General features: G+C 42.2%; 1 long non-coding RNA gene across 4 annotated transcripts in view, besides 1 other annotated feature; it reads right to left on the minus strand.

The window, feature by feature from the left end:
* The window catches only part of LOC105371632 (uncharacterized), a 31,712-nt gene extending 13,107 nt beyond the window's left edge, over positions 1-18,605 (minus strand). The window contains exons 1-3 of one of the 4 annotated variants that reach the window (XR_007066747.1): positions 12,237-12,851; positions 6,580-6,725; positions 6,037-6,106 (exon numbers count right to left, since the gene is read on the minus strand). This is a non-coding gene — a long non-coding RNA (uncharacterized LOC105371632). Of the gene's footprint in view, positions 1-6,036 lie in introns of all 4 variants that reach the window. The other 3 variants (XR_922314.3, XR_922315.3, XR_922313.3) reach the window with 3 other exon arrangements.
* Positions 14,008-14,057: an enhancer, noted in NCBI's record as "active region_2144". NCBI's record gives its function as "activates an Ori minimal core promoter by ATAC-STARR-seq in GM12878 lymphoblastoid cells {active_cell/tissue: GM12878}" and the evidence as "EXISTENCE:reporter gene assay evidence [ECO:0000049][PMID:35858748]".
* Positions 18,606-22,861: the final 4,256 nt, after the last annotated feature.

Genomic DNA, 22,861 nt, shown 5'->3' on the forward strand with positions numbered 1-22,861 from the left:
TTGATTTGGGAATTACAAATAAATTTTAACAAGTAGGTGAATTCACAAATACAGAATCCATGAGTAATGAGATCAACTATACATAAAAGAGAGAATCCAGATATTGGTGAACCTAGTACTTCCTGGCACATCCATTCATGAGAAAACAGGAAGAAGAAATGAACATTTATGGAACACTTCCTATGTGCAGCCCCTGTGCACCTACTAACTCGCTTATCACAGCAACCCTATGGAGTAGTTAATAATATAACCTTTTTTTATATGTTGCTGGATTCAGTTTGCTAGTATTTTGTTGAGAATTTTTGCTTTTATATTTATGAGGGATATTGGTCATGTAGTTTTCTTGTGATGTCTTTTTCTGCCTTTGGTATCAGGGCACTACTGTCCTCATAGAATGAATTAGGAGTGTTCCCTTCTCTTCTGTTTCTTTTTGAAAGAGTTTGTGAAGGATTGTTGCTAATTCTTCTACAAATGTTTGGTAGCATTTACAAATAAAACCATCTGGTCCAGGACTTTTCTTTGTGGGAAGATTTTTGATTAATAATTCAATCTCTTGTTATAGGTCAAATTAGACTTTCTTTCTCTTTCGTGTGTGTGTGTGTGTGTGTTTGTGTGTGTGTGTGTGTGTGTGTTTGAGGCAGAGTCTCGCTCTGTTGCCCAGGCTGGAGTGTAGTGGCATGATCTTGGCTCACTGAAGCCTCCACCTCCCGGGTTCCAGCAATTTTCCTGCCTCAGCCTCCCAGGTAGCTGGGATTACAGGCATGCGCCACCACGCCTGGCAAATTTTTGTATTTTTAGTAGAGATGGGGTTTCACCATGTTGGCCAGGCTGGTCTGGAACTCCTGACTTCATGTGATGCACCCGCCTCAGCCTCCCAAAGTGCTGGGAGGTGTGAGCCACCGTGCCCGGCCTAGGTTATCTAATTTGTTGGAATACAATTGTTCATAGTATTCCCTTATAATCCTTTCTGTTTCTCTAAGTTCAATGCAATGTCCCCTCTTTCATCTCTGATTTTAATAATTGAGTTTTCTGTATTTTTTTCTTGGTCAGTGTAGCTAAAGTTTTGTCAATTTTTTGACCTTTTTGAAGAACTAACTTTTGGGTTTGTTGATTTTTTTTTTCTACTTTTTTTCCTCCCCCATTTCATTTATTTCTATTCACCTTTATTACTTTCTTTCTTTGGCTTGCTTTGGATTTAATTTGCTCTTCTTTTCTAATTTCTTAAAGTGGAAGGTTGGGTCATTGATTTGAGATCCTTTTTACCTTTTAATATAGGCATTTACAGCTATAATTTTCCCCTGTAAACACTGTTTTTGTTGCATCCCATAAGATTTGGTATGATGTGTTTTGTTTTCATTCATATCAAAGACTACTAATATCTCTTATTTCTTCTTTGACCTATCGCTTGTCTAATTTCTACATATTTGTGAATTTCCCAAATTTTCTTCTGTTGTTGGTTTCTACTTCCATTGTGGTTAGAGGACATACTTTGTATGATTTCAGTCCTCTTAAAATTAGAGAGTTGTTTTCTGGACTAATACAGGGTCCATCATGTGAAATATTCATGCACATTTGAAAAGAATGTGTAGGCCAGGTATGGTGGCTCACGCCTGTAATCCCAGCACTTTGGGAGGCTGAGGCGGGTGAATCATGAGGTCAGGAGTTCGAGACCAGCTTAGCCAACATGGTGAAACACTGTCTCTACTAAAAATACAAAAGATTAGCTGGGCATGGTGACGGGTGCCTGTAATCCCAGCTACTCAGGAGGCTGAGGCAGAAAAATCACTTGAACTCAGGAGGCAGAGATTGCAGTGAGCCGAGATCGGGCCACTGCACTCCAGCCTGGGCAACAGAGCAAGACCCTGTCTTGGAAAAAAAAAGAAAAAAAAGAAAAGGATGTGTATTTTGCTGGTGTTGTGTGGAGTTTTCTATATCCATAGAAACTGTTACGTCTAGTTGGCTTATAGTGTTATTCAAATCTTCTGTTTCCTTGTGGATCTTCTACTTAGTTTTTATATTCATCATTGAAAGTGGGATATTGAAATCTTCAACTGCTATTGTTGAATTGTTTAACTTTTCAGTTTTGTCATTTTTTTCTTCATATATTTTGGAACTGTTGAGAGGTGCATATATATTTGAAATTTTTTTTGATAGACTGACTCTTTTATCATTATAAAATTTCCTTTTTTTTTCTCTAGGAAAATGTTGTTATATATTAGCATAATATAGTATAATTTATTTGTATTTTTTCTCAGATATTAGTATTTCTATTCCAGTTCTCTTTTGGTTATTGTTTATATGGTGTATCTTTTTCCCTTCTTTTGCTTTCAGACTGTTTCTGTCTTTGAATCTACATTTTGTCCCTTACAAAGAACATATAGTTCTATGATTTTTAAAATCCATTCTGCCAATATCTGTCTTTTAATTGGAGTGTTTCAGTGTTAATCTTGAGGATCCTATGTATATGATGAGTTACTTTTTTTTGCTGTTTTTAAGATTCTTTGTCTATGGCTTTTGACAGTTTGATTTTGAAGTGTCTAGGTGTGGATATTTTGAATTTATTCCACTTGGAGTTTGTTGAGCTTCGTGGATGTGTAAATTCATGTTTTTAATCAAATCTGTTAAGTATTGAGCCCTTATGTCTTCAAGTACTTTTTTTCCCCCTTTCTTTTTCTTGCTTCTTTCTGGTACTTCAGTTATGCCTATTAACACTTGATGGTGTCCCACACAAGTCTTTGAGGCTCTGTTCATTTTCCTTCATTCTTTTTCTTTCTGAGATTGGATAACCACAATTGGCCTATCTTCAAGTTTCCCAATTCTCTCTTCTTCCTGCTCACACCTTTCCTGGTGTTCCTCTTGTGAATTTTTCATGTTAATGCCAGAATTTCTATTTGATTTTTAAAAATAAATTATATCTCTCTCCTTTTTTTTTTTTTTTTGAGATGGAGTCTCGCTCTGTCACCCAGGCTGGAGTGCAGTGGTGTGATCTTGGCTCACTGCAACCTCCAACTCCCGGGTTCAAGCATTCTCCTGCCTCAATCTCCCGAGTAGCTGGGATTACAGGTGCGTGCTACCATACCTGGAAATTTTTGTATTTTTTTAGTAGAGACGGGGTCTCACCATGTTGGTAAGGCTGGTCTCGAACTCTTGACCTTGTGATCCGCCTGCCTTGGCCTCCCAAAGTGCTGGGATTACAGGCATGAGCCACTGTGCCCGGCCAAATTATATCTCTTTATTAATATTTTCTATCTGGTGCGACATTTCTCTTTATTTTTATTTTTTTTCTTTTGTAATAGAGATGTAGTCTTGCCATGTTGCCCAGGCTGGTCTCAAACTCCTGAGCTGGCAATCCTCCCACCTCCAGCTCCCAAAGTGCTGGTATTACAGATGTGAGCCACCATACCCAGCTGAGACATAATTCTCACACTCTGCTTTAGTTCTTTTTTTTTTTTTGAGATGGGGTCTCACTCTGTTGCCCAGGTTGGAGTGCAGTCTCAACTCACTGCAACCTCCACCTCCTGGGTTCAAGCGATTCTCCTGCCTCAGCCTCTCAAGTAGCTGGGACTACAGGCATGTACCACTGCACCTGGCTATATATATAATATATAAATTATATTAATATAATTATTTATATATTATATTTATATAGTATGTTAATAATATAATTAGCCAATATATAATATATGTATATATGTGTATATATTATATCATATTGTATATATTTTTTATATATATACACACATATATATATATATATTTTTTTTTTTTTTGAGGCGGAGTCTTACTTTGTTGCCCAGGCTGGAGTGCAATGGTGTGATCTCGGCTCACTGAAAACTTCACCTCCGGGTTCAAGCAATTCTTCTGCCTCAGCCTCCCGAGTAGCTGGGACTACAGGCACCTGCCACCATGCCCAGCTAATTTTTGTGTTTTTAGTAGAGATGGGGTTTCACCATATTGGCCAGGCTGGTCTCGAACTCCTGACCTTGTGATCCACCCACCTCAGCCTCCCAAAGTACTGGGATTACAGGTGCGAGCCACCGTGATTGGCCAATTTTTGTATTTTTAGTAGAGACGGGGTTTCACCATGTTGGCCAGGCTGGTCTTGAACTCCTGACCTCAAGTAATCCACCCGCCTCAGCCTCTGAAAGTGCTGGGATTACAGGCGTGAGCCATTGCACCTGGCCAAGTTCTTTAGAGATGGTTTCCTTCAGTTTTTTTAGACATGGTTTTCAAATATATATTTGAATATATTTAAAATAACTGGGCCAGGCACAGTGGCTCATGCCTGTAATCCCCAGCACTTTGGGAGGCCAAGGCAGGAGGATCACCTGAGGTCAGGAGTGAGACCAGCCTGGCCAACATGGTGAAACCCTGTCTCTACTAAACATACAAAAATTAGCTGGGCACGGTGGCGGGCGCTTATAATCCCATCTGCTCAGAAGCTGAGGCACAAGAATTGCTTGAACCCAAAACACAGAGGCTGCAGTGAGCCTCTGCCTCCCAAAGTGCTAGGATTACAGGCATGAGCCATCACGCCTGGCCCAAACTAGACATTTTAAATAATATAATGTGGCAACTCTGGAAATCAGATTCTCCACCCTCCCCAGGTTTGTTTTGATGGTGCTGTTGTTTTAGTTCGTTTGTTTATTGACTCTTCTGAACTCTGTTTTCTTTGTCAGGTGAGGCCACTGAAGTCCCTGCTCAGTTAGTTTAATGGTCAGCTGATGATGAACAGAGATTTTTCTTAAACAACTGGAGCCAGTAAGTCTCCCAGTCTTTGCCAAGGGCTTCGTGTGAGTGTCGGGGCGTGCCTTCAACACTAAGCCAGGCAGTCAGCAACTCTGCCTTGGTGTTGTCTTTCTGTTTTTCAGAAAGGTTGAAAAATGTGGCCTTTATTTAGGAGACCATGTGTACAACTAAAAATGAAGGGTTTTTTTTTTAACCAAGGAATGAGGGAAACTAGCTATCTCTGCCGCCTTCATTTTACAGGTGAAGAAACTGAGGTTTAGAGAAGTTCGGTAATTTACCCAAGGACATCCAAGCAATAGGTAGTGGTGCTAGGATTAAAATCAGGCAGCCTGAACGGCTGTAGTGGCTCACACCTGTAATCCAGTACGTTGGGAGGCCGAGACAGGTGGATCACGAGGTCAGGAAATTGAGACCATCCTGGCCAGCATGGTGAAACCCCGTTTCTACTAAAAATACAAAAAATTAGCTGGGCATGGTGGCGCGCACCTGTAGTCCCAGCTACTCTGGAGGCTGAGGCAGGAGAATTGCTTGAACCTGGGAGGCAGAGGTTGCAGTGAGCTGAGATCATGCCACTGCACTGCAGCCTGGTGACAGAGGGAGACTCTGTCTCTAAATAAATAAGTAAATAAATAAAAATCAGGCAACCTGACCCTAAATCACTTTGCCTTACAGAATAGGAAACTGGGGTTCAGAGAAGTTAAAGAACTCTGAGGTCATGTAGCTGGCTAGTGCAGATCTGTCTGGCCCCAGAGCTTATCCTTTCCCCCTTAGTTGCCCCAAATCTATCTTACCCTGGTGGGCCACCAGGAGGAGTGACAAAAAATAGACCTGAATGTTTAAGCTGAAAACACCTGGAAGAGGCCAATTAAGATACCTAAATAAAGTGCCCTTTAAACAACCAGGACAACAATAAATATCTGAAGGTCAGCAAATGAATCAAAATGCTAGATAATCAGAAAGAGCTATTAAGGAACAAACACTGTAGAACTTGCTTGTATACTGGAGCAGGATTAAGGAACTGGTTAGGTCAAGGCTGTGAATTGCCATTAAGAAATCAGTATTAAAAGTTGCTGTCTTGATTGGGACTCTAAGTACCTTCTGTTTTGTTTTTCCCACTAATTTCCCAGACTCCCAGGCCCTTCCAACCAGTCAGTAGGTTAGTATTAATCCCTTTAACCCCCATACATCCCTGGGGTGGGGTTAGGCCCAGTTAAACCCAGGCCTCAAGGTTCCATTGAACCCACCCAAGGTCTGTGGGAAGAGACCCCAGTGCCTGTCTTGACTCACCCATTTCTTTTCTTTGTCAGCTCTTGTTTTTCTTCACCTTGGATTATCCTGAAGCTCAGTTAATTGAGTCCTGAATAAGTAAGGGCATGTTGTAATTCCAAATTCAAGACAAGTTTTCTATTTAACCAGAGGTCCTTTTCATGTTACTCACAGAGGAGACACTCAAGACGGGGTATCAATGGAATTGCAGTTTGATAACTAAACAGAAGCACACTTGAAACTCTGGTGACTAATACAGCCCCATTCACACCTACCGAAAGACAATCCCCTGCTCTATCTGTGGTTTGAATCGATCACAAAAAACACAGATTTGCTTCCAGCAGCTAAAGTAATTTTAGTTTTATCAAATAGTGTATGTTTGGGTTTCTAGAGTTAAAAAAAAACTCATGCTTGGACCTTGGGCACCCATTGGAAGCTGCCTATCTGTTCCCACCCTTGCTGCTAGGACTCTCCTCACTGCTGTTAGCACACAGTGGGTTTCTACTGCTAAGAACTCCCTCCTCAACCCTGCCCTGGCACCCTAAAAATGACCTGTGCTGATACCTTCTCTCCCCTGCTCCCCATACACCCACAGGTGCAGGAACAGCTCCAGCTCTGCCTTTGTCCCGCGCTTTGAGCTTTTTTCAGGCTTCACCACTGCTCTTTCTTTGGCTTCATACTTGGGTTCTTTTTCTGTACAGGGTTAACAACTATATCATGAGAATATTAGTTAGATTCCATTTAACTTTTTACAATTTAATTAAATAGAGGTAATTATAGATTCACATCGGGTTGTAAGAAATAATACAGAGAGATACAATGTGTCTTTTATCCACAGTTTCCTTCCAATGGTAACATCTTACAAAACTCTAGTATGTGCAATATTACAACTAGGAAATTGATGGTACAATCCATAGATCTTGATCAGATTTCCCTCCTGTCTTACATTTACTCTGTGTGTGTGTGTGTGTGTGTGTGTGTGCACGTGCACGTGTATTTAATTCTATGCCATTTTATCACATGTGGAGGTTTGTATATCAATCACCATCTCTTATGTTGCCTTTTTGTAACATAATCTATTTCCCTCTCCTTCCATCCTCCACCCCCTGGCCCTAACCCCTGCCAATCACTAAACTATACTCTCTCACACTAATTTTATGGTTTCAAGAACGTTATATAAATAAAATCATAACATACGTAATTCTTTGGGATTGGCTTTTTCACTTGAAATCCATCCAAGTTTTGTGTGTATCCATGGTTTGCTCCCTTTTTATTGCTGGGTAGTAGTCCAAGGTCTAGATGCACCACAGTTTGTTTAACCATTTGCCCACTGAGACATCTGGGTTGTTTCCAGGGCCTATTATAAATAATGCTGCTGTGGACATTTGTATATAGGGTTTTGTGTGAACATAAAATATGTTTTTATGTTTCTGGGATAAGTACCCAAGAGTGAAATTGCTGGGTTTTGTGGTAATTGCATGTTTAGTTTTATAAGAAACTTCCAAAATGTTCTCTAGAGTGGCTATACCCACCAGCAATGTATGAGAGATTCAGTTTTTCTACATCCTTATCAGCAATTGATATGGTCACTATTTTAAATTTTAACCATTCTGATAGGTGTGTAGTAAAATTTCACTGAAGTTATTTCGTTTTAAAAAACAATTTGTACTTTTCAACTTTTGTTACTAAATATTTGTGCAGCTTTTATATTTTTATTTTTCAGAAACATTTTAATTACTGAATAGCTGTGTAACATGTTAGAAAAATCCAAGTAATATTTCACATAATTCCATTTCACTTGCCTGTCCATACTTTTTCAGTATGCCAAGAATTCTATGCCTACTTTTGACACATAACTTGATGTCAAGTTTCACTTGATGAAACCTTTTTGATAATTGTCAACTCAAAAGTTAACACGACATATACTTCATGAAAATGGAGTTAATTGGCTATTCTGAGCCTTTTATAAAGAGAATTGCTTCATCCACATACCAATTAAGTTTCTATATTTATAAAATATTTTTCTAATCAAAAAATTAATTGAAACTATGAAAAAATAGACACCTGGCTGTTTCTTTCTTTTTCTGTTGTTGAGACAGAGTCTCACTCAGTCACCCGGGCTGGAGTACAGTGGCACCATCTTGGCTCACTGCAACCTCCACCTCCACCTCCAGGGTTCAAGCGATTCTTGTGTCTCAGTCTCCCAAGTAGTTGGAATTACAGGTGCACACTATCACGCCTGGCTAATTTTTGTGTTTTTAGTAGAGATGGGGTTTCACCATGTTGGCCAGGCTGGTCTCGAACTCCTGGCCTCAAGTGATCTACCCACCTCTACCTCCCAAAGTGCTGGAATTACAGGTGTGAGCCACCATGCCCAGCCAACCTGGCTGTTTCTTTTCCAGCCCTTCCAGAATGAGAATTCATGTAGGCCATCTGCCCCACTCTGATCTGCAAGCTGCCTCCCTGATTCCTTGACTCCCTGCAACCCACATCCCCTCCTGTCTTCAGGACATCATACTCGCACCTGGGGGAAAAGGGGAAGTAAAAAGGGAGGCTCAGTGCCCCTGGGTCTGCTTTGTCTGTGAGAGAAATCTGACATTGTTGGCAGAGAACTAACATGTCTTCTTAGAAAAAAGTAGAGCCCCAGTTGCCTGGATACAGTCAGGAATACATATCACTGGATCTGTGGGTGACCTGTAGTTACTTTGTCCCTATTTGAGTTTCCTGAATGTTAAGAGGAAAATGGAGCAGAGCTAACAAATACCTCATACCTGCTTGGGCTTTCTCCGTCAGTCCTCTGTGTGTGCATCACACACCCACACATATGCAAAATAGCTCAGTGTAAAAACCCTGCAGTAAACATCAATCCTTGTAGATTCCCGGGGAGTTCTAGTTGGATTTGCTAGCAAAGCAACTTCCATAAAGACTATAAATAGCAGGCATGTGCCTCTGTAAGCAGTGCAGCTATTTTTTTTTAAATAGGGGATTCTCATGTTACAAGGACATCACAGATTACTGAATAATTTATTTAATGGTAGATTATATGGGCTTCACTCTTTGCCAGTGAGCTCATACCCAAATGTCTAAAGGAGATAAGGTGAGCAAAAGCTAGATGTCAGGCTTGGGTGAGCTGTTTATTTATTTTTATTAGATATGTATAACTATTGTAGCCATTTATATTTTACTTAATATTATCTCAGCTGCAAAGGTCATATATACAATAGTGTCACTACTTTATTACAGACATTTAGCTAACTTCTAACAATTCATATCGCACACAGCATGAGAAATACAGAATAGAATAATAAATAACTTTGGTTGCACTTGATTTTAACAAAGGACTGTGATATATAGGAGTATGTTTGTTCTCTATGAAAGTATAGGGAAATGAGGGGACAAAATTCAAAAAAAGGATGTTAGATTTGAAAATAGAGATAAGAAAAAATGATCTAAATCCATGTTTTTCTGTGAACTATTGTTATAATCTTTTCAATGACTTATAGTAAAAAAAAATTGCTTATAAGCTTACAGATCTTAGACATTTTACCTTTAGCTATATACAGTTCTCAGGTGTGCAGAGGTACCCTGGAAGACGGACATACTTTTCTGTCAAATGTAATTTTAATGAATATGAAATTTATTTAAAAAGGAAATTTAAATTTGGCAATAGCAAGATGTCAAAAGATTTGAACAGGCACATAACAGGAAATTCATGTGGCCAATTAACATAGTAAAAGATTCTTGGTTTTGTTTAATAATCAGGGAAATGCAAATTAAACTCACAGTGAAATGTTACTCACTACACAGCCACCTGATCAGTTGAAGTTTTAAAGTTTGACAATAACAAGTGCTGTTGAGGATGGAATATAGTGAGAACCGCTGCTGTTGGAAGTTTGTTTTTATTTATTTTTTGAGTCAGGGTCTTGCTCTGTCACCCACGCTGGAGTGCGGTGGCGCGATCATGGCTCACTGCAGCCTCCACCTTCCAAGTAGCTGGGACTACAGGAGTGGACCACCATACCCAGCTATTTTTTTTTCTTTTTTTTGTAGACATGGGGTCCCACTGTATTGTTCAAGCTGGCCTTGAATTCCTGGGCTCAAGCGATCCTCCCACCTCAGCCTCCCAAAGTGCTGAGATTACAGGTGTGATCACCGCACCCAGTCTGCTTTTGGGAGTTTAAATTGAAGCAAAGTTTTGGCAAATAGTTGCCATTCTCTACTAAGGTTAAAGATTCACACACCCTATTCACAAGTGGAGAAATTCTGATGTGGGAAAATGCCATCAAGGCAGGTGTACATGCATATGCTGTGGACCAGGATGTATACAAGAATGTGTAGAGAAGCAGTGTTTGTAATAGCCCCAAGCTGGAACCAAACCAAATGCTGGCCTGTCATAGAAAGCATAAGAATTAGAGCCACTTAACAACAGCATGGTTGGAGTTAATAAATATAATGTTGAAGAAAAGAAGCAAGACACAAATACTCAGAGTCAGGGTCCATTGATATAAAGCTTATAAACGGGCAAAGCTAAACTACATTGTTTAGGGATGCATATAGAGATAGTAAAACTCTAAAGAAAAGCAAGGAAATTGTTATAATAAAAGTGAGGATGGTGGTTACTTTTAGAGGAGAAAAAGAATTGTGACCGAGCTTACTCTGAGACTTCTGCACTCTGGAAATGTTCTATTTCTTGACCTGGCTGTGGTTTCATGGGTTTTTACTTCATCATCATTCACTGAACTGGATCTTTACTTCCATAGTTTGTGGATGTACGTTATGTTTCACGCACACATACATACACACACATGATGCTTTCTAGTCATACTACTAAATACTGAAAGATCAAAATCTAGAAAAAGAAACTCCCTAGTTCAATTTAGTACCTTTAAAAAATGAACTTTAAGTATTCAGTTCAGTTGAATGAACATTCAAAACAACAAGCCGAATCTATGCACCATTGTGCCTCAGAATTCTACAGTGTTGTGCTGGAAGGACAGCCAGAGGAAAGGAAGGAGCATCAGCTCCCAGGCAAGGGCTGCTTCCCAGCCAGCTCTGCTCCTCCACATCTCTTTCCCCAGGCAATTCTCTAGGCTTGGTTTCTCATCTGTAGAGGCCCAGACTGGATCTGCTCCTCTGAGAGTCTCCTAATATATTACTAAGAGTCATCTGTTGGAAGTTTGTCATTTTTAAAATATAAAATTCTTTTCATTTGGACAAGAATCTAAAGAATATAAGCATATTTGGGGTCCTCCCTATGTCCACGTTTGAGTGTACAGTGCCAGCCTTGCTCAGTGTTCACAATCACAATGCAACCTAGATGCGCTATTTTAATTGCCAGTTGTCAACTGTTAATTGCCAATCAGAAGAAAACGCAAGTGGCCTTAGTAGAGTATGTACTTGCCAAGTGAGCTCACAGAAGGCCCACAACCAGTGTTTCCATAGGAGTTTGAAGAGACGATGCCACGTGAGATTTAAGTCATGAGACAATGCAGGTGTAAGGCGTGCCCAGCTCAGAGAACCGACTCGGTGCTTGAGTTACCAAGCAAGGGGCAATTTGACTCCACAAAATCACACTATCTGTCTCATTCAATTAATGTTACCTTGAGTTTTATTGGTTTTATATTTGATTTGTCAAATCATGAACTTATTTTGATTTTATAGTTGTAGAAAACTTACAAGGGTTGTATACCCAATTTTATGTTTGTGTACATCCAACTAACAATCTTTATAAAAGTGGTTTATGTTAACACTGGAAATCATCCTTTTTTTTTTTTTTCTTGAGAAAGCAGTGCACATCACTCAAATTTCAGCCATGCTGAATTCTGTGACCTACAGACACTTCTGGGGTTTGTTTCTATTTTAGGGAGTTGAGCCCTTTCCAAAGCAGGCGGCCGGGGGCATCCCTGGTGCTGCCTGGGACTCCATCCTCTTTAATCTGTGGCAGTGACTCTCAGCTACAGGTGATACTGCCCACAGGGAGATTTTGGGCAGCATCAGGAGACACTGTCAATGGTCACAAGCAGAGGAAGTGCATAGTCACAGAGGCCAGGGTGCTGCTAAACATCCTGCAATGCATAGGACAGCCCCCCAGAACAAAGAGCTAACCAGGGAACAGAACCCCCGATTCTGTTCTCCCACTTCGACTTCCCTAAGAAGAAAATCTCCTCTATGTCAGTTCCCAGTTAATCAGGGAAAGGCAGCAGTTTTCTTTTACAACTTACCTTTCTCAACACTTGTTTCCTTTAACACAGCAGAATCAGACAAAAGCAAAAATAATCCCTCAGGTGTGAAAAGGTTCATTGCCTGACTGGCTTGATTGAAGAGTGGAGGGTGGGGCGGATGTCAGCTATTATTTTTTTGAGGCAACCTTATTCCTGGTCCACCGTCTACACAGAGCGACTCTTCTATCCTGGCGCCTGATGTCTGTAGCTGGTCTCTGGAGGGGATGTGCTGCAAAGTGATTCCCAGGGGAGCCAACATCTCCTCCAGAATAAATTATTGAAAACAATACTTAACAGGAAATGTTCATGAGAGCTTCAGACAGACTGAAGTGGTTTCAGATCATCTGAGAGGGCTGACCTAAGGGCCCGCATAGCTGTGGCTGTCTACCTGCCTGCCAGGGCTGCTGGGGAACCCTTTGCTATCTATCCCCGTGGCTCATGGGACTGTGGAGTATGTGATTCTTGTATTTGTTCATACAGATTGCGCTGCTTGTGCCTGGGTCCTGTCTTCTCTTCTCCATCAGATATTTAACTCCTCGAGTCCTCGAGAAGAGAGGCTTCTGTGTCATTTGTTGTCACTGTGTGCCATCCAGTGCACTCAGCAAGGTGGCCAGCTCTGTAGGGAACCGGTCATCACTGTCAATGAACTAGGAAAAACCACCATGTAAAAAAAAATAGCCCAGGGAGGATTACGGGCAATGATTTCCTAGACACTTCCCCGTCACAGGCTTCAGCCTTCCTCGCTGTGATTCTAGTGACCAGAATCCAGTCACAGCCAGCCTCTGTCTCTGATTTGGAAGCATTAGAATCTATAGCTTTCTACCAACAAGAGAACAGCCCTTAAGCTCCAGGACCAAAAAAAGGAATGCGCTCTTCCTCACTGACTGGGTGGCTGCCCAAGGTGAAGATGGGATAGGGGGTCTGATCTCTCCCTACTCCATCCTCCCCTCTCACCCCACTAGTACAAGGTCTCAGAGACCACTAAAGACTTCACCTGCCCCTGACACCCACTGACACATGGCAATTTCTGACCCTAAGTGGATGCTTCACATCCTCTGACCACCACCATTCCCTCCCCATCCCTCCTCCTCAGGGCACATCCTGAACTCTTTATAAAAGAAAAAAGAGGGCACCATGCCTTTAGCACAACACAGATGCCCTGGAGTGTGGCAAACAGGGCCCTTGTTCCTGGCCTGGACCCTGGGGTGGCTCAGATCCCACTTCTGGGAGGAGGGGGCAGCTGGTGGAGGAAGAAACAAGACCTGAGGGGTGCAGGCATCCCCTCAGCACCAACAGCCTACACCTCCTCTCCCCGTGCCAGTCTCTGATCGACACCCTCCCCCTCCTCTGGTCTTTGAGGCCGCTCCCTCCTCCAGACTCCTGGGTCCTGCACACATGGGGAACTGGATGAGGTCCTAGGAGTGAGCCACGTGGCTCAAGGTAGCTCATCGGAATAGGAATTCAAACTGTGGCCAAAGAAGAGAGAAAAATGGGAGGCCAGAGAAGCAGAGCATCGGGTATGGGGATGAGGCTGGGCCACAAAAAGGAAGGCCCATCTAGGGGTCAGAGGCTGGCAGGGTGCCAAGCAGAGCAAGTGATGCTGTAGAAGACTGGTTAGGAGAAATGGTACAGGCGAAGTCCATGAGCAAACCAGATTGGGGTCTGCTAGTATGGAATCCTGGTGATGTCTTAGCTCTGGGATGGAGACAATCCTTCAAGTCCATCTTAGGTGTTAAATCGATGATGTTCAGACTTGGTTGGGGGAAGGGAAAGAGTAGTTGTGATTACCCTAACCTTACCCAAATACAGCAATGGCCCGGGACCCAATTCAGGACTCAGAGGGCAAGCCAGACCCTGCCCTAGCCAAATAATGCAGCAAGCCCCTTGCTCAGTGGTGAGGAATAGCTAAATGTGGCCCCTACACCTGGGGTAAACCAGAGCCTAACTTTAGCTTCCTAGGAGCATATGCAAAATGTGCGGCCAGCTGCCCCTGCAGCCTCACCCAAGGCCACTTCTCTTTTACATGCTGCACCTGTGGGTATTTGCATGTTTGGCCAGCTCGCAAGCCAGTTCTGAGGCTGAGAACATCCTAGTCTCTCAAACGGGATTCCTTGTTCCCTTGGGAACCAGCTCCTCCCTCCCCTCCCACCCTAGAGGCAAAGCCTTGCTTTCTGCATTTCTGCCCTGTGGGTGGGTGCCATGGAGGGGAGCAGCCTCGCAGAGGAGGCCTAAAGTTTTGAGCGGAGTAAAGGACAGCGACACCTTACTTGCGCCTTTGAGAAGGGAAACAACCAGCTCAGGAGCCGCAGTCCGGTCTGGTCTGCCAGCTCCTATTTCCCCCTCCTCTTGGCTGCTGGCCTTTTGTTCTTGTCATGGCTCATTAGCTCCCTAAACAGAGGTTGATTAAAGAAAATAAAAGGAGAAAAATAGGGAAATTAATTGCACTGGTGAAAGGTCTAATGGGGAAGGAAGTTAAAACCAATTGTCTTGAGATTTTAATTATCCCATCTGCTCTCTGGCCCCTTGATGGTGCATAACCAGAATGAAATGTTAATGTGGGCACTAAACATATTTTACACCCACTTCCCAGTGAGTTCTCTGGTCTCCTACTTGAAAGCTGGTGAGCCCAGGCATCAGGACGCGCCACTGGGACCTGTGTACTGGGTGATGCCAGGCAGATGGGAGGACAGGAGGCCCTGCCTGTGAGGACTATGGAGTAGGGACTATGGAGCAGTGTGTGTGATGCTTCCTTGGCACGATGGAAAGATACAGGGTTGGGTTGCAGGAATGAAGAGAATAGGAGAGAAAAAGAAGCCTCTCTTTCTATGTCACTCCCTGGAAGAACTCAGAGTCCTGATGTCTGGTCTTAGAAGGACTGGTACATTTTGGAGGAATATCAAGAAACAGATATGAGCAGTGGGAAGAGGCCAAACAGTAAAGCCCCAAGTGCCCCTCTGGCAAGAGGAGCAGATTTTGCTGCCAGGAAATCAGAGCTAGAGTTCCCTGCTAGTGGCCTCTCTCCTTTCACCTCATTTATTCTTCCTCTTCACTGGACGATGCCACTCAAAAGAAAATGCAAAGATGGGCTGCACAGTTCCAGCAAGAGTCTCCATGGCTCCACTAAAGTCAGATGGACTCTGAACCTATAGGAAACATCCAAACAGATGGGAAAAGAAGAAGTAAATCCCTTCTGAGTAAGCAGCCACTAAATTAAGCTCTATTAGTCTGTAGGATATGTGGCAGATTGGTTTGCCCCCATTTGAAGTCCAATTCCTGGCCAGGCACAGTGGTTCACACCTGTAATCCCAGCACTTTGGGAGGCTGAGGCAGGAGGATAACTTGAGGCCAAGAGTTCAAAACCAGCCTGGTCAACTGGTCAACAGAGCAAGACCCCTTTCTCAATCAATCAATCAATCAAATGAAGTCCAATTCCTGCTCTGCCCACAGTGGGTCATTGAAACCACTGGCCCTTCAGGTGAGCCCACTGGTTCTCTCTTAAGGTGGGGACTATTGATGTCACAGGCCTGAAGCCATTCTACTAGTAGATATCACAATAACACCAATTGAGATCCTAACCCAGAAATCAAAGTCTATCCCATTTAACACAATACCTACACCCACATGCCTTTGGTATATAGGTGGTAACTATATATAGCTGGGAACGTGGAGATACAACTTATGCCACTTTCGTCAGTTTCCCACTCTTAGTGTTGTGCAATACAGTAGTCTCCCCTTATTTAAGTAGTCTTCACTTTATTCAAAGGGGGACTACTGTATTGTATGACATCCAAGATCCCCAGTAGATGCCTGAAACCTTGGGTAGTATCAAACCCTATATATACTGTTTCTCCCTATATATGCCTGTGATAAAGTTTAATTTACAAATTAGACACAGTAAGAGATTAACAACAATAACTGATAATAAAATAGAACAATTATAATGCTATGCTGTAATGAGTCACATGAATGGGGGCTCTTTCTGTCTCAAAACATCTAATTGTATCATATTCACCTATTTTCAGACCATGGTTGACCGTGGGTAACTGAAACCATAGAAAGTGCAACTGAGGCTAAGAGGGGACTACTATAGAAGGCAACCCTCAGCAGTGTGGACTGCTGGTGGAAAAGCTAGGAACAGCACAGGCACCAGAGTGTACAAAACCACCTCCACATTAAGCCCGTTATTTAAGTCTGCCCAGGACCGTGAGGAATTGACATGGTCCTCTCTGTTGAACCCCAGCATTAAACCACTTTCCGCACCAATACCATCTTCATTCCTAACACCTCTGGCCTCAAGAGGAAGGATCTGGGGTGAATACACTGTCAGTCTCTCGGATATTTTTTCCACGTATAATGCTGCAACATAAAGCATTGAACAATAGGAGAACCACTAGAAATAAGTTTCCCTGATGCAACCCAGAGAAGAGAGTTGGTGCTTTTCTTTTGTATGGACCTGGGGTATTCTTGGAGAAGTAGAGGAAATGACCTTGTTATTCTCTGCTAAGATGGATTTTCCAGAGAGTTATAAAATCTAAACGACAATCGGCTAGCACACAAGGAGCACCTGTGTGGAAGAGACTGCGACCCGGGTGAGTGCTCTTGTGGGCAGCAGATTTGGGTCTCTGCATGTGGTGGACTGAGATACAGAATGGGTCTGACTGGCAGAGAAAAGTGAAAAGGGCAATCCAAGAATAACAGCATGGAGGAGGAGAAAAACCCAAAGAAATATACCTTCAAATGACCATCTCTTTTTGGACATCAGAAAAGCGAGTAGATCATACTGTTTGGTCCCAAATGGTATGGCTTTGTCCCCTAGCCCCTGGATGTGGAGAAGTCATGGAGCTATGCAAACGTGGAAAAGCCAAGGAAAGGAATATTTCACATTTATATGGCATTTTACAGCTGCTTTCCCCCACATGGTTGTGCTTGATGTTCACAACCACATCTGAAGCAGACAAGAATTATCTTCATTTCACAGATGAAAAATAGTCTGAGAGGCTAAATGACTTCTTGAAAGCCACACTCTTTTTCCATGGCAGAGCTGGGATTAGAACCTGAGTGTTCTAACTTTAAATTCTGGGCTCTTCTAGTGATGTCAGTGGTTTTTCTTTTTTCTTTTTTGAGACGGAGTCTCACTCTATCGCCTAGGCTGGAGTGCAGTGGTGCGATCTCGGCTCACTGCAACCTCTGCCTCCCAGGTTCAAGTGATTCTCATGCCTCAGCCTCCCAAGTAGCTGGGATTATAGGCATGTGCCATCATGCCTAGCTAATTTTTTCTATTTTTAGTGAGATGGGGTTTCACTGTGTTGGCCAGGTTGGTCTCGAACTCCTGGCCTCAAGTGATCCTCCTACCTCGGCCTCCCAAAGTGTTGGGATTACAAGCACGAGCCACCACACCTGGTCCTATGTCAGTGATTTTTAAACTGTGTACCCAACAGAACATCCTCAGAGAGGAAGAGGATACTGGCTTCCCTGATCACTCAGATGACAGCAGCTACAGTCTTACTTGCCTTATGTATTAAAAATTTTAGTATATAAGATTTTGTTTGTTAAAAAAAAAAAAGGATTAAAATAAGTTGGCAAGTCGCTGCCCTCTGCCATGATCCCTACACTGGGGAGGGGGGATGTTCAGCTATAACATAAGGAACAAGTACAAGCAAGGAAAGGACCAGCCCCCATGGGCGTGGCCATTTCCCAGTGAACCCTCAGCAAGTGCATGCTCCACACTTCAGGTTCTCTCTTAGATGGGGAAAGAAAGAGCTGAGGGCTGTCAATTTGGGGACGTTCTTCCTGGACTGACTTCATGGGATGCTGCCTGGTCAACTCCATGAATCTTGTCCAGGCAAATCTAAACCCCTCAGCAGACTAACTCAGCCCACCCAAGCTTCATCAGCTGCTGCAGCCCAGTGCCTGGTAAGCAATGCTTCCAGGCTCCTCCCAACCTGGCCTCCAATGAGATGCACACTCACCCTACAGGTTGGCCTATGTTGGCACATCACCTGTTCATGGTGCAAGGCCATTCAAGGTGTCAGTCCCACCAGCCTGAGCCCTAAGACCTCCCAACAGTTTGTCCTTTTCCTCCAATCTCTTCTTTCCATATGGCTCTGCCTGCTCCTCAAATGCTATTCCTATCTTTGCTGGCTTTGGCTTCCCTGTAGCTGTTTAGAAACACCCTCCTACTCTTCTCTAGCTTCCTGGTCAGCAAATATTCTGGCTTATCGAGGGCCTCCTGGTGCTGTGAAGAGTCAGGGCAAATCATTTCATGTTTGGTTTTGTCTCTTTATCCTGGACCATTAAGAAGCTGCCTGCTACAGAGAAAAGACTTGTCTGAAGTCGGCCTCTCTGATCATCATGGCTGATGGGCCTAAATAAATCCCTTTGTTCAGATTTTATAAAGCACGTATGACTTGGCTTTTGTTATTCATTTTCACATCTCTCTTCGTAAACTGTGTGTGACATAAAGAAATCAGACAGACCTGGGTTCAAATCCCAGCTTTGTACTTACTAACTATATGATCTTGGACAAGCTACTCAAGCTTTCTGATCTTCTTTTTCCTCACTTATATCAAGAGATAATACTATCTACTGCACAGGGTTGTTCTTGTTTTTTAATAGAGAATAAATGAGATAAAGAATCCTTTACAGTGCTTGGCACAGAGTGAGAGTTCAATAGACACTAGTTTCTCCTTCATCCTTAGGATAGAAACCAAAACTTATCCACGTTTCCCCAAAACCTAGTAGAGTAGCTGGCACATAATATATTCTCAGTGAATATTCATTGCTGGAGTGAAAGAATGAAACGTGACCTCAGCTTACTGCAACCTCTGCCTCCTGGCTTCAAGCGATTCTTCTGCCTCAGCCTCCTGAGTAGCTGGGACTACAGGTGTGCACCACCATGCCCAGCTAATTTTTTGTATTTTTAGTAGAGACAGGGTTTTACCATGTTGGCCAGGCTGGTCTTGAACTCCTGACCTCAAGTGATCCATCTACCTTGGCCTCCCAAAGTCCTGGGATTACAAGGATAAGTCACTGTGCCCAGGTAAAACATATTTTTAAATGAAATGGTGTGTTATAGCATGTACTCTTTTAAAATTATTTATCTATCTTTCAAAAGAAAAAAATGCCTGGAAAAATATTAGCTGGCAATGGCTATGTCTGGTGGGTGGGAGGGTAGTAATTTTTACTTTATATATGATACTTTCAATATTGTTTGAAAAGTTTTTAAAATAAGCATCATTTTTATAATCAGAAAAAAATAACTTTTGGGGGTCTGGGTATGGTGGCTCATGCCTGTAATCCTAGCACTTTGGGAGGCCAAGGTGAGCAGATCACTTGAGGTCAGGAGTTTGAGACCAGCCTGGCCAACATGGTGAAACCCCATCTCTACCAAAAAGATAAAAATTAGCCAGATGTGGTGGCGGGCACCTGTAATCCCAGCTACTTGGGAGGCTAAGGCAGGAGAATCACTTGAACCCAGGAGGCAGAGGTTGCAGTGAGCTGAGTTTGCGCCACTGCCCTCCAGCCTGGGCAACAGAACAAGACTCCGTCTCAAAACAAACCAAAACACATAAAGGGGTATAACAATTAGTGTGTATATATTTTTTGGTTATAAATGTCAATACCTACCTTAAACTCATTTACACTCAAAGGAAAATGTATTTGGAAGGCTAAGAGGACTGCAGGAAGGTCAAGGTGTGGCTGCACCTCAGAAGAGCTGGAAATGGATCTGGCATGCTGCTGTTACGCCCCCCTCTCTCTGCAGCTCTGGGTGTGGGTGTCAGTCCTTCAGCTACAGGCCAGCTTCCTCTATCTGGTGGGAAACGCCATCCCGATGACTTCAGAGCTGCTAACCCCGCCACAAAGAGACAATGAGCACTACTCTTTGGTCCCTAGGTCATCAATTCCAAGCACGTACTGCACTGTCCCTACTTGGGTCAGATGTCCATCCCTTACCCAGGCTTTACAGCTGGCCCACTGTGTGGTCCATTCCCAACCATGGGTCCATCACTGTGGGCCAGGAGGCAGAGTCGTGTAAGAAGAACTGTATTAATGGCTTGAGAAATAACTGTTCCCTCTCCCCCTGCACTCTTCTGCTGTGAGCTGCTATTTCCTTGGAGATAGGAAGAGAGGATAGGAAGTTCTGAGCCTGTTGGCTTAGTTTCCATCTTCAGAGGAGGGCCAGGGAAGACTGGAGGTAGGAAACTGGGCAGGCTTGGATCAACAGTTGTTAACATCAGAGACAATGGTGAGCTTCCCTGACAAGTTCCTGTGACGGTGCAAAGTCATTTCATCTGAGTTCTCATGGAGCTCACAGCTCAACCCAAGAGATGAATGCTGGATAGAGTAGCCTTCATTGTCATTCCTTTACCTCTCTTCCTGGGCACCTTCCATCACTTCCCTATAAGCAAGAAGAAATGTCTTCTAAATGATGAAGGGTTATCTTGCATCAAACACCCCAGAGCTCAAGAAAGCATTCATTGGCTTCTATTTCTCTGTGCACTCTCTGCTTTGTTTACTTAGGAGATTGTAATTTAATTTTTTTCCAAAATAGAATGACTTTGTCTAAAAACCACGTTTAAATACAGTAGGACCTCATGACATCATAGCTCATGGTTAGAATTCAATTTGGAATAAGTCTTGATGTTGGAATGGGATCACTGCACTGGGAGCCCCTGGTGGTCAGGAGCTGTGCTTTAGCCATCGCCGAACTCCAGCATCGAGTGCAGTCCTGCTGCCTGATACACACTCAGAAGTTAAAGGCACTCAAAAGTCCTATGGTTCATTCTTTTTTAAAAATTTAATTTTTAAAATATGACACATAATAACTACATATTCATGGAGTACATAGTGTTTTCATACATATAATGTATAGTGATCAAGTCAGGATAATTAGCATATTCATCATCTCAAACATTTATTATTTCTTGGTGTTGGGAACATTCAATATCCTCTTTCTAGCTATTTGAAACTATACATTATTGTTAAATATTCTACAGTGGTATAGAACACTGGAACTTATTCCTCCTCTCTATCTGTGATTCTGTATTCTTTAACAAATCTCTCCCTGTCTCTCCCTTCCTCCTACCCTTACCAGCCTCTAGGATTCTCTGTTCTACTTTTTTCGTCTATGAAATCACCTTTTTTTTTTAGCTTCTACATATGAGTGAGAACATGTAGTGTTTAATTTTCTATTCCTGGCCTATTTCATTTAACATGTCTTCCAGTTCTATGTTGCTGCAAATGACAAGATATCATTCTTTTTATGGCTGAATAGTATTCCCTTTTGTAGATATATACCACATTTTCTTTATCCATTCATCTGTTGCTGGACACCTAAGTTGATTCCATATCATGGCTATTGTGAAAAGTGCAATAAACATAAGGATGCAGCTACTTCTTCAAAATACGGATTTCCTTGCTTTTGGATAAATGCTCAGTAGTGGGATTTTTAGACTGACTACCAGTAGTTCTCTTTGTAGTTGTTTTTTGTTTGTTTTTTTGTTTTTCGAGGAACCCCCATACCGTTCTCCATAGTGGCTGTATTAATTTACATTCCTCTTATACACTGTTGGTGGGAATGTAAATTTATACAGCCACTATGGAGAACGGTATGGGGGATCCTCAAAAAACAAACAAACAAAAAACCCAGCAGTATATAAGCGTTCCCTTTTCTCCTCATCCTCACCAGCCATTGTCATTTTTGTCTTTTTGATAATAGCCAGTCTAACTGGAGTGAGATGATACCTCATTGTGGTTTTGATTTGCATTTCCCTGATGATTAGTAATGTTGAGCATTTTTTCATATATTTGTTGGCCATTTGTATGTCTTCTTTTGAGAAATGTCTGTTCAGATCATTTGCCTATTTTTGATCAGATTTTTTTTTCTGCTGAGATGTTTGAGTTCCTTGTATATTCTGGATATTAATCCCCTGTGGAACGAGTAGTTTGTAAATATTTTCTCCCATTATGTAGGTTGTCTTTTCATTCTGTTGATTGTTTCCTTTGCTGTGTAGAAGATAATCCCATTTAAAAATTTTTGCTTTTGTTGCCTGTGCTTTTGAGGTCTTATTCATAAATCTTTTCCCAGACCAATGCCGTAAAGTGTTTCCCGTACGTTTTCTTCTAGTAGTTTTATTGTTTTGGGTCTAACACTTCAATCTTTTATCCATTTTGAGTTGATTTTCGTATAATGTGAGAGGTGGGAGGTCTAGTTTCATTCTTCCGCATACGAACATCCAGTCTTTCCAGAACTATTTATTGAAGAGAATATCCTTTCCCCAGTGAGTGTTCTTGGCACCTTTGTCAAAAATCAGTTGGCTGTAAATACATGTATTAATTTCTGGGTTCCTTATTCTGTTTCATTAGTCAATGTGTCTGTTTTTATACCAATACCATGCTCCTTTGGTTACCAGAGCCTTGTAATATTTTGAAGTCAGGTAGTGTGGTGCTTCCAGCTTTGTTCTTTTTACTCAGGGATTGCTTTGGCTATAGAGTTCTTTTTTGATTTCATACAAATTTTAGGAGTGTTTTTTCTAATTCTGTGAAAAATGACATGGTATTTTGATAAGAATTACATTGAATCTGTAGATTGCTTTGAGTAGTATTGTCATTTTAACAATATTAAT

This window comes from Homo sapiens, chromosome 1, assembly GCF_000001405.40.
Source record: "Homo sapiens chromosome 1, GRCh38.p14 Primary Assembly".
NCBI classification, from domain to species: domain Eukaryota; kingdom Metazoa; phylum Chordata; class Mammalia; order Primates; family Hominidae; genus Homo; species Homo sapiens.